The 12,368-nt window shown below is 40.7% G+C and overlaps 1 protein-coding gene across 11 annotated transcripts in view; it reads right to left on the reverse strand.

Moving 5' to 3' along the window:
• Nucleotides 1-214: 214 nt before the first annotated feature.
• SLAMF1 (signaling lymphocytic activation molecule family member 1) overlaps nucleotides 215-12,368 on the reverse strand; it is a 38,939-nt gene continuing 26,785 nt past the window's right edge. For 5 of the 11 annotated variants that reach the window (XM_005245456.5, NM_003037.5, NM_001330754.2 and 2 more), the window contains 3 exons: nucleotides 11,885-11,958; nucleotides 4,597-4,689; nucleotides 215-2,907 (listed from right to left, as the gene is read on the reverse strand). In XM_005245456.5, coding sequence (XP_005245513.1) covers nucleotides 2,857-2,907; nucleotides 4,597-4,689; nucleotides 11,885-11,958 — 218 coding nt within the window. In that variant the 3' untranslated portion in view covers nucleotides 215-2,856. Of the gene's footprint in view, nucleotides 2,908-4,595; nucleotides 4,690-11,884; nucleotides 11,959-12,368 lie in introns of those variants that run through there. The other 6 variants (NR_104401.3, NR_104400.3, NR_104399.3 and 3 more) reach the window with 2 other exon arrangements.

Below are 12,368 nucleotides of genomic sequence, written 5' to 3' on the forward strand. Positions count from 1 at the left end.
TCTCCATGTGGAGGGTGGTTCCTGACCTTTGGTGAAGGGGATGCCAAGCTAACCCTTGTCCACCTCCAGGAAAGGGACAACCTCACATCCTATCTGATCAAATCTGCCTCCTTCAGCATTTCATAACTATGGCATGGAGACATAAGGCCAGGAAACACATCATGCCATATTACTGTGTTATAAATCCTTTAGGAAACACAAGACAAAATTGCAATTTCCTTGATGGACTGGCTGTAATTTATTCATTTCCAAAAAGTAGAAACATAAACTTCAGAAGAAGAATCAATTCACAGTGGCTTCTCAGCCAGCACACACCACCCGCTGTAACAATCACATCCCCGCTGTGTGAATGGAGGAAGCGTCCTGAAGAGCCTGGGACTGTGCCCAGTTGTACTTCAGAACATCAGTCCCTTCAAACCGAGAATGGGTGTGTTCCTCCTGACTTCTCTAGAATTCAGACATGCTTGGTCAAAAGAAAACAGCATTAGAGGGGAAACACGGGGAAAACTTATTGTTTTAAGTCTGAGGAAAAGGCAAGCTCCCGCTCCCCATAGTGCCATTTGGGGGAAACTAGAGAGTTGTGAATGTATCACCAGAAGGGGTTGTTTTACCACGTGTAACCATGGTCTAGGGTGAGAGGCATAATGCCAGTGCTGTTTGGTGGGTGGCCCAAAAGACTCCCTCCCCAGTGAGGTCTTGAGCCCAGGGGTGCAGGATACTTGGAAGTGATAGCCTCTTCTTCACCCTTTGTTTCTGCCCTTCCTTCAGGTAGAATTCAGCTACTGGAAAAATCCAAGTGCTGGGAACTGAGCTTCTAGAGCAATCTGAGTTGTAGTAAAGGAATGGGTGCTCATAAGCCCGGGTTTACAAATCTTCATTAGTAGCTCCACAGTTTTGAGAGTAGACAGTGAATGAGGGTAAGGTTATACAAGGGTGGCGTAGTGGATAATTGTGAGGCTTTTTTGTCTGCCTACCACCTGAATCCCACTTCTATTATTTGTAGAATTCCTTAATTCATAAGAAGTGAAAGTGGAAAATGCCAGATATTCAATTCCCAGCCCCCCTTGGAGATAGGACATGGACATGTGACCTAGGATTGGCCACTCAATCCCAGACTTTGAATTATAAGCTAGAGATGAAAGGATGAAGAAGGGACCCTGGAGAATTCATTTTCATGGCAGACAGTGCAGCAGTAACAGTAATATCAAGTTTCCAAGTCCAGCAGAGACAGTGAGGCAGTGGTAGAGTCTGTGCCTAGTGCTGGGGACAGTGGCTGTGCATGAACAGGATCATCATCCCTGGGCTGGTTTTGTAATTTTGGCTGTGCTCCCAGCCACAGCCTAGTCTCTTCTTTTCCTGCTCACTTTCAAAGCATGGTTTTGCAGAAACTTCTAGCAGTTATTGGAACCAATCAGTATCTTTTCAATAGGTTCCTTTTCTACATAAAAAAGCCAAAGCCAGCTTCTGTTGATTGCAACTAAGAACTCTATTAAAGAAGCTGGTACCAGGAAACGAGATGCACTAAGCAACAGGCTTACAATGTGAATTGACCTCATAGAGGAGGTAAGATACAAGGCAATAAGGACCTGAGTTTTGAGCTGGGAAGTTGGTGCTCCTTATTATGCAATGGTATGATAGTGGCTGTTTCTTACAGTACTTACCAAGTTTATATAAGAAACAATAAGAAAAAGCAGGGCTTAAATTGAGGACAGCCTGTCTAAAAGCAGAGAATAGGAAAAAACAAAGGACTTTACTTAAAAAGTCTCTTTCTGCCTGCAGCTTGCAAAATAAGTTATTGAGCATTCAAAGATTTGAAGCTGTTAGACCAAAATAACTTAATTTTCTACTAGAGGATAAATTTAGTGTGAGGAGAGGTATGCAGGGAGTAGAAAGTGCCTAGGAAAGACCTTGACCTGCAATACCCCTTGAAGCCCTGGATATAAGAGGTTCAGAATCTGGTCACAGAGAGTCTTAGCTGAGGTTCCAGGTTTGTTGTTCAAGGGAATCAACAGAGAACTGGGATTTAAACATCATTTTGAGAAGTGAAAAATCACCATGGGACAAGTTCCTCTGAGTATTCCAAGCTCCTTTGTAACAGCACCATCAAACATTTGCTACGTTTTTCTTTAAAACTGAATGCCATTTGCACAGAACTGTACTTTTAAGGCTCTTACATGGTTTCCAGTCCACTGTTCAAAACTCAGAGATCTCAAAATCATTCTTTCTGTTTATTGACTTTTTAGCTTCTGGGTTTTGCAAATAAAATAATATTCTTAGCTTCCTTTATACAATAATATCAGAGTGTTTTATGTATAATAAGAAATTCACCCTTCAGCCTCTATTCACTCTTTATCCTGAGAGAGAAACTGAGGCACAGAGGCTTGATCAGGTCTGCAGGTTATCATGATCAGCTCCCAGAACAAAGTAAAGATAGCCAAAATGTAAACTTTTCCAGACTTTGTGACTGGTGGTCCAGTGTGTGAGATAGGTACTCAGATGTCCTGGCTTTCAGTCTGATTTTTATTATCCAGTTCCAGCCAAGAGCAAGATGCCCAAAGTCTGAACTCACATTACTGTCCATTTCATCTGCTACAACACAAAGATGGAACGCTGTTATCAAGTAACGCTCTGTTCTGCGCCTGCAGCCACTGCACAGCAAGCTAAATTCTTGGGAAGCCTCACTTCCTTGTTCATTTCACAGATGTATGTGGAAGAAACATCACCAGGGAGTTGATCTGAGAAGGGTACAGACGTGCAGCATGTCTGCCAGAGGAAACTTGGGGCCTGTGGCCAAGTTCAGTGTTCATTTTGGTTTTTCCATTTTCCTTCAGAAAGTCCCTTTGTTGGTCTCTGGTGTCAGCTCTCTGGAAGTGTCACACTAGCATAGACTGTGATGGAATTTGTTTCCTGGGGACAAAGCAGAAGTCTGTGAGTAGAGGGACTGGATACTCACTTCACAGAATGCAAATGAAAACAGCACTGCTGAGGAAAAGGAAAGGGTCTTAGAGATCATGGCTTGTGCAGGGTCTGTCACAGACAGGGCCTTGCTGGGACAGCACTTGGGTTCCCACACTGCTTCTCCACCTGCAACAAGGGCCACAGCTCCCTTCCAAGCATAAGCATGCTATTATGGGGAGCATGATCTGAGGACCAGCACTCAGTGCCCTGTCTCCCTCTTTGCCCTCTCCCCTTCCATCCCCTTGTAAGGAAAACCATTTGTTTTGCTGTTACATATGGGTCACAATCTGGGAAGCCAAGAGAGTTGTAAATTATTGAGTTTTTAAAAAGTCTAGTGGGACTCAAAGGGAGAAGAGAAAAGTGGTATTGGCAGGAGAGAGGAAGGGGAGAAGAGGGTTATGCGCAAAGATCTCTCATGTCAAAGAAACAAAGAAAATAGAATTTAAGGGTTTTGCCATAAAATGTTAACTATAGCATACTGTTTTTGTCCTTAAGTAAACTTCATTAAAAATCTATGTATTTTTTTGAAGCTTTGAAGTCAGGTTTATATTTTTACTTCCTTCTTAGATATGACAGTGAAGTGAGAATGGACCTCAAGTTGAAGATTGGTTTCATCTTGAAATATAGGGCACCTGCCCAGGCATTTCTGGATGAGTGTGTGTGCGGTAGGAGCTTTGAAAAATAAGGTGGATGCAGGCATTTGTGTGACCTTTGTGCCTCTATCATCCTGGGCTCTCTTCTGAAAGAGCCCAAATGGAGCAAAGATTTCAGCCCAGAATTTATTTCTATTCATTCAGTAAAGGAAAGATTCCTGTCCGAAGTAAACTTAGTCCCTGCTGATCTTGCAATAGGGTAGAATATGCAAGTATCATTTTGAGCTGCACCCCATATTCTCTTCTAGGCTTAACACCTATGCAGATCTCCACCCCTAAATATTCTGATTAAATGGGGCTGCACAGAGTCTAGGCATGAGCATTTTTACAATGCTTCCCTGGTGATTCTGTTTTGTAGCTGGAGTTGAGAACTCCTGGACTCCAGCTGCTGTTCTTAAACTTGAGTGTGTATCAGAATTACCTGGGGTGTGGGTTTTTTAAATACGTAGGTCTATGGCTACTCTCCATAGACATTTTCATTTAACAGAATCCTAGGTGGAAGTCCCTAGGAATCTTTATTTTTAACAAGTACGCTGGCTGATTCTGATGTGGTCCTTGGACAACTCTCAGGGAAACACTGGCCAGCAGGGGGTTAGCAGTGGCCCCGTGTGAGCAGGTATTGGGGGCTTCATGGAAACTGGAAAACCAAAGCCACAGAGACTCCTTTTTGCCTGCATGCTGTGGCCTCCCTTCCCCAGTCCAGGACTCATCAATCTGTTTCATTTAATTTGTTTTTGTTTTAATTTTTTTTTTTTTACTTTTATTTTAAGTTCAGGCGTACATGTGCTGGTTTGTTACATAGGTAAACTTGTGTCATGAGGATTTGTTATACACAGTATTTTGTCACCTAGGTATGAAGCCTAGTGCCCAATAGCTATTTTCCCTGATCCTCTCCCTCTTCCCACCTTAAAAAAAAAAAACTTCCTCATTTTCCCCTCCTTCATGTATTCCCTCTCTACGGAGAGTAGGCAGAGAGATGCCTCACCTGGACAGACTCTGGGACAGGCTCTGTGGCAGCAACATATATGGTGGTGCAAGGGTCCTGAGCTGGGAAGGAGTCAAGTTTCTTCTGAAGAGGCTACAAGAGAAGCAAAGAAAGCAGATTAGCTGAACAGAGAGAGCTAGTTCTCACCCAACTCTCCGATAGAGAAGCACAGACTCAAGAAGACTTGAGGCAGAAAGTTCCTTCCAGTCATTTGGTCCAACCTCCTTCTCAGGTGGGAATTCTCCCCCAAATTCTCTGGAACTCAATTCCCCAGGCTTTGCTTGGACTCCCCAAGTGGCGTCTTGGGGTGCACAACCTCCCAAGGCAGCCTCATCCATTGTCAGTGCTTCTCAAATGTTTTAAATGTCTTCCTCACAAGAAACTGAAATTGGTGTGGCTCTTACAGGGGCAGCTGGAGGGGACAGAATAGCAACAGAATTTAGTCCGTCTCACTCATATCACCGGCTACATGCAGAATTCTTGCATCCCACACTGCCATTCCTACTCTTCCTCCTCCTCACATATGTCTTCTCATTTGCCTCACAACCACTCTGTGTTAAATACTGTTGTTACTCACACTTCACCGATGATGAAGCTACAGCTCAGAAAGACCAAATGTTTTCCTAATGTGTACAAGCAAGAAGTGTCAAAGCCGGGAGTCCCCTGCCTTAAGCTCTTTTAACTTAAGGTGCATGTCCTTTCTATCACTATTCTTTTTTGGTCACTCAACTTATAATGACCTATCCCTTACTTAAATTCCTCAGGTATTTAAAGTCTAATTTACACTTTATGGCACTCTATGCTATATTTAAAACATTCTGATATATTTATGTGTTGTTTCTCCAGTCTATACATTCCTTGAGAAATAAGCCATATATTTTTGTACTCCCCACAGAACAGTATTGGACACATAAAAATAAACTCTTCAGCTGATATTTGTTGATGTTACTTTGAACGAATTAAAATCCACAATTCCTGGACAAAGACCTCAAAATAAATTGAGACCACATCCTTGTAAGATGCGGATGCCATCACTTACAATAGGGAAGTCATTAATTCAACACATTTTGGGGACACTGGTTATGGGATAATGCTGCTGTCCACTCTCCCTGGGTATAGAGCCAGACTTGAAGCCACACCACATGTGTTTTAATGCGAGAAAACTTGGAATTTTGTCATGTGATGGAAGGGTTAAGGAATTAGGAAAGTTTATTGGAGGAAAAAGGGATGGGACATAATTTTTCTCTTCATATATTTGATGAATTGCCATATAGAAAAGGAATTCAATTTGCCTATAAAGTATCTCAGGTTTAAACCAAGATTAGGATTTGGGGAAAATATTTTGATTCAATATAATGAAGATCTTTCTAATGGTAAAAGATGTTCAAATGTGGGATGAATTGCCTTGGCAGGCAATGAGCTCCTATAGTTATAAGTGCTTGGGCATGGTCTAGACCAGTGCTGCTGACTTTTATTATGCATATGAATTACTTGGGGATCTTGTTAAAGGGTTGATTCTATTTCGGAAGATCTGGAGCAGGGCCTGATTCTGCATTTCTAATAAAGTCCCAGGTGATGCTGATGCTGCTTGTTCACAAACTATATTTCAGTAAAAAGGAGCTAGGCAACACTTTGGAAGTAATGTTGTAGCAGATAATTCAAGCAGTAATTGGGTGGTTCAGATAGATGGCTTTCAAGATCCCATACAATTCTTAAATACATTTTGAAGAAATTTTGAGTTTAAGAAAGAATTTCTTGCAGTGATGAGATAAAGAGGCTATCAAAACAGTTTATTAAGAGACCTTTGGCCGGGCGTGGTGGCTCACGCCTGTAATCCCAGCACTTTGGGAGGCTGAGGTGGGTGGATCACGAGGTCAGGAGATCGAGACCATCCTGGCCAACATAGTGAAACCCCATCTCTACTAAAAATACAAAAATTAGCCAGGAATGATGGTGCATGCCCGTAATCCCAGCTACTCAGGAGGCGGAGGCAGGAGAATCCCTTGAACCAGGGAGCTGGAGGTTGCAGTGAGCTGAGATGGCGCCACAGCACTCTAGCCTGGCGACAGAGTGAGACTCCGCATCACCAAAAAAAAAAAAAAAAGAAGAGAGACCTTTATCAACAGATGCAACCTCTGCTGGTCTTCCTGTTTGGGAGAACTTTAGCATAACCTGACCTAGAGGCAGAAGGAGGCAAATAACTTACATTTTTAACATTAATTCAGAAGTTTTAGAAAGGAGAAAAATATGTAAAAGAAGTCACCCATAGTCCTATTAAGACTCTGTGTGTGCTTAAATGTTCACTTCAGGATTTTTATCCAGGCATAGGGAATTATTTTAAACATAAATATAATAAGTTAGTATATTTTTGTATCTTATTATCTTCTGTTAGGACCACTGATTTGTACATCTTTAGGGAGCATCATTTACAAGCAACTCCAGAGGCATTATTTTCACATAATTTTTGTGAATGGTGGCCGCTGGAATTAATTCTGCAAGATACTAGCTCTGATAAGTCCTAGAAGAGTTCCTAGCACACAGTAAACACTTGTTTAGTGATTTTCATGTTATTATATTCTTTATAAGATTATTTTATAGCCATTAAAAATAAGAATAAAGGCATTGTTAGTTTTTAAATAATTGTCTACATTATTACAGTCTTTATATTGATATAATAAAGACATCGCAAATATGAACAAAGAAAATTGTGAAAATGTGGGTAAGTCTAAGTATATATTTATATATATAAAACAATAATAATTATGTCTTGTGTGTTTAAAATATATATGAAATTCAAATAATGACAAAACGGTCACTTAAATCAAGAGGTGAAATTATTGTGGACTTGAAGTATTATGCAGGAGGGAAGTAAACCTTAGACTTTGGTAAGTCAAAGTTGTATTTTATAATTTCTAGGGTAGCCACTAAAAAGACTGAAAAAAGTTGTTCACTAATATGTAGAGGAGAAAATTTAATAATAAAAATATAACTTAAAAAAATTTCCACCAAAGAAACCCCAGTCTCAGATAGCTTTACTAGCAATTTGCTCTACTAGCAAATATTTAAGGGGAGAAATAAGACATCCTACCCAAATATCGCAGAGAATAACAAAAAGGAAATGCACCCTGTGGTGGGTTGAACTGTGGCCCCAAAAGATATGTCCAGGCAGAATGTCAAAATGTGACTTTATTTGAATAAAGGTCTTCACAGATGTCAAGATAAGGATTTCAAAATAAGGTCATCCTGGATTAGAATAAGTCCGAAGTCTGATGATGACTGTCCTTATAAGAGATGGAAAAGAAGAAGACACAGAGAGGGAGGTCATGTGAAGATGAAGGCAAAAATTGCAGATACACAACTACAAGCCAACAAATGCCACGGAGAGCCTGGAGCCACCAGATGCTGGAAGAGGCAAAGAGGATTTTCTCCTAAAGCCTCCAGATGGAGTGTGGCCCTGAGGATGTGCCTCCTTGATTTTGGACTTCTGACCTCCAGAACTGTTAGAGAATAAATTTCTGTTGTTTTAAGCCACCAAGTTTCCAGTAATTTGTTAAGGCATCCCTAGGAAACTAACATATACCCCAACTCCTTATGTGAATTAGCATAAATCTTTATATCAAAACCCCACTGGTTGGGCATGACTACCCAGGTCCCTTCCAGTTCTTAAAGTCTGAATTTTTAACAGGAGAGCGACCAACTTTACCGTGATGTGGGTATTAGGTAGAGTAGCTGTGTGTCATTTTGGGATCAATCTGAGGCTTGTGATTAAAGAAGAGTCCAGGAAGAACTCTGTTACTTATTTTTTTAAGGACATTTGAAATATTTCTACCTCAACTTGTATCCCAGTTAGATATATTCACAAGAATGCTATATACCAGCCACTGCAGTGCCTTCTTAAAAAAAAAAAGGCATTATACAAGAGAATTACAGGCCAATTTCACTCAGAAACATAAGTGGAAAACCAAACTCTTAACAAAATATTAGCAAATAAAATCCAGTAATGCTTAAAAAGGACTAGACTAAATTGGTCTACAACAAAATTAAGACCTTCTCTTTATCAGTAGGTATCTCTGAGAAATTCCAAAGGCAAGCTACAGATGGGTGAAGGTATTTGCTAACATATCTGCCAAAGGGCACATATCCAAAATATATGAAAAGCATATACTAGTCCATAAAAGAAAGACTAAACCTCAAAGGGAAATGGGCAAGAGATTAAATGGGCACTTTAAGAAAGAATTTTAATATGGCCAATAAACATATGAAAAGTTGTTCAACTTCCTTAATAATTACAGAGATGTGGAATAAAAGCATAATAAGACACATCCAACAGTAGGACTAAAATTAGACTGTTAATACCAAGTTTTCATTAGAATGCATAGCAATTGAGGCCAGGAGTGGTGGCTCATGCCTGTAATCCCAGCACTTTGGGATGCTGAGGCGGGCAGATCTCCTGAGATCAGGAGTTCGAGACCACCCTGGCCAACATGGTGAAATACTGTCTCTACTAAAAATACAACAATGAGCCAGGTGTGGTGGTGCGTACCTGTAATCCCAGCTGCTTGGGAGGCCGAGACAGGAGAATGGCTTGAACCCAGGAGGCGGAGGTTGCAGTAAGACAAGATCACGCCACTGCACCCCAGCCTAGGCAACAGAGTGAAACTCTGTCTCAAAAAAAAATTTAAAAAAAAAAGGCATAGCAATTGAGACTCTCATATGTAGCTGATAGAAAAGTAAATGGATACGCCCACTTTGAAAAACAGCTCGGCCTTATCTAGTCAATTTGGAGGTATGCATACTCTACGATTCAGCAGTTCTACTTCCAGGTATATCTAGGTATATACCCAAAAAAATATGTGCACATGTCCACTTAACGACTTGCATATGAATGTTCACAGCTGCAACTTTCATAATAGCCTCAAACTGGAAATAACCCACATGTCCATCAATAGTCAACTGGATAAATAAACTCTAGTATATTCATACGTTTATATTCTATGAAGCAATGAAAAAGAATGCATTATATCTAAATTCAAAGACATATATGAATCTCATAAAGATAATACTGAGCAAAATAAATCAGACATGAGAGAAAAAAGAATAAAGAATTCAATTTTTATAAAGTTCAAAAATAAAAAAGGAAAAAGCTAACCTATTTTTCTAGAAGTCAGGATAGTGGTTATCTTTGGGGAGGAGAGAGGAAGTAATGATTGGGAAGTGGCACAGGAGGCCTTCAGGAAGTACGGGCAATGTTCTAGTCTTTGATCTGAGTGGTAGTTTTATGGTATTAGAAGACTCAATACTGAGGCCAGGCACAGTGGCTCACATCTGTAATCCCAGCACTTTGGGAGGCTGAGGTGGGCAGATCACTTGAGGTTAGTAGTTTGAGACCAGCCTGGCCAACATGGTGAAACCCCATCTCTACTAAAGATACAAAAATTAGCTGGGTGTGGTGGCAGGTGCCTGTAATCTCAGCTACTTGGAAGGCTGAGGCAGGAGAATCACTTGAACCCAGGAGGCGGAGGTTGTAGTGAGCCCAGATCACACCACTGCACTCCAGCCTGGGCGATAAAGCAAGACTCTGTCAAAAAACAAAAAACAAAAAACAAAAAACACGCAACACTGAAAAATGTAATTTCTCCTCATATAGATCTGTAGACTCAATACAATTCTAATATTTTTTTTTCTTTTTGTGGTACTTGATAAGTTGATTCTAAAATACATATGAAAGTATAAAGGAACAAGAATAGCCAAAAACTTTTGCAGAAAAACAAATTAGGAAGACTTGCTTTACCAAATATCGAGATATGTGTTTAAGGGTAACTCACTGAGCTGACATTAATGTGTTGTGTATTTTTTTGGTCAGAGTTGATCCTTACTGAGGAGTGGGTATGCATGAGTGTGTGTATGTGAGAGTGAGTGTGTGTGTGTGTGTGTGTAAAATGGAGGAGAGGACTAAAAGTGTGATTAGAAGCAGCTGGAAGTAGCAGAGGAGGTGGAAGTTAGTCCCCTCGAGTGTTTGCAAAGTAAGACATGCCTGCCCAGCACTCTCCTAGGTGTATAGTGGCTACAAATAGAGTAGAGAACAGACTCCAGTCCTCAAAGACTTTCAGTCTTGCAGGTCAGCTCAGACTCAAATGTAGAACTGGGAGGACAGTCCTGAACTGATGAATGCCACTGAATTTTAAATTTTATTTAATTCAAATTAATTTAAATTTAAAAAGCTACATGTGGCTAGTGACTACCATATGTCATGCTTCACAGTAAAAAAGAGGGATGCTAGCAGCATAGGATAGAGTAGTGAGGGAAGACACTATGGTCAAGGTGAACCTGGTTACCTAAACAGGCAGATGAGAGCGTGGGGTGAAAGGGTTACTCTTGGGATTCTCATCTATTTAAATGGAGTTTAGTTGGGGGAAGGATGGAGCTGGGTTGTGTAATAAGCCCTCCAGGCCACTAGGGGACAGCAGAAATAAGAACTTTGTTCAAGAGTCCATCTCCTGGTTCTCAGAAGTGCATTTGCTGTCTTTTCATGCAATTTTCTAAGGTACTATCAAAACCATCTTTACCTTCACATCCTTTACTCAAGAATTTGCCTCTACCTACACCCCAAATGTCCAGATTCTGGCCTATACAATACCAAGAATTGCCTTCATGTTGAAAAACTACAGTGTCTCTACATCTAACCACGATCCTTTTAGCGTCTCTATCCCTTCCTTCAAGCATATCTGCTTCTCAACTTCACCATGCATCCAGTTTTTCCATCCTTCACTTCTTAGTCCAGTGATCACTCTGTCACAGTTTTCTTTCTTCCATCTCATCTTTCATCTCTTTAACCACACTCTAGCTAGAATTTTGAAGATCCTACCTTCCTTGTCACTTTTGCACTTAGTAAATCCTAAACTTGGATCAGTCCAACATGTCACACAATAGCTTTTCCAAACCTCCTCTCTCCTCAAGCCTGCACTCTTTTCCCTAGAAAAGGAAATAATTGACTAACATGGAACCTAGACTCCTACAATGCCAGAGCTGGAAAGAGTCATACAGTATGTATTTCCAGCTTCTTCATTTTTTTCCTGTGAAGACTCATGACCAGAAAATTATCCAGTGTTGCCCATTATTTCAAACACTGACGTTTAGTGACTTTAGGAGAACTCTTGTTCTTGACTCCTGTTCCCTACCTTCCTCTGCTCTGGATGGAAAACTGTGAATGTCCAACAGGCAAGGTAGACTGGCCAGGAATACTCTAGGAAACATGACAGGTTCATCTCAAACAAAATATAGAACTTACACCTGGTTTCTGGACTTGGGCATAGATCGTAAGGCTTTTTTTTTCCACTGTTGTCTGGTAATGGTTCGTTTTACCTGGTGAAAAGAAACCATAATGGTTATCTCCCTCTGGTCCCCAGCAGGAGCTCCTTACTCAGACCTGGTCTTTACTGTCCTTTGCATACCCACTTTCCCCAAGGGCACAATGGAAACAAAGCCCTGAGTCCCAGCCCCCCTGCACATTTGTCATATTGTCTTAGGTTAGTTACTTGATCACTCTAGGCCTATCTGTGAAATGGGATTTGAAATACCTGCCTCACGGGGCTGTTGTGATAATTAAATGAGATACCACTTGTAAAGTGTTTAGAACACTGCCTGGTGCATAACAAATGCCCAATACGCATTAGGTGTTTTTCTCATTGGTGTACCATTCAATTACTTTAATCTCTGTTGCTCAATGTGCATATCTGGTCTCCTAATAGGATTCTAAGTTCTTTGAGGGCAGG

This window comes from Homo sapiens, chromosome 1 (assembly GCF_000001405.40).
Source record: "Homo sapiens chromosome 1, GRCh38.p14 Primary Assembly".
Lineage (NCBI taxonomy): Eukaryota > Metazoa > Chordata > Mammalia > Primates > Hominidae > Homo > Homo sapiens.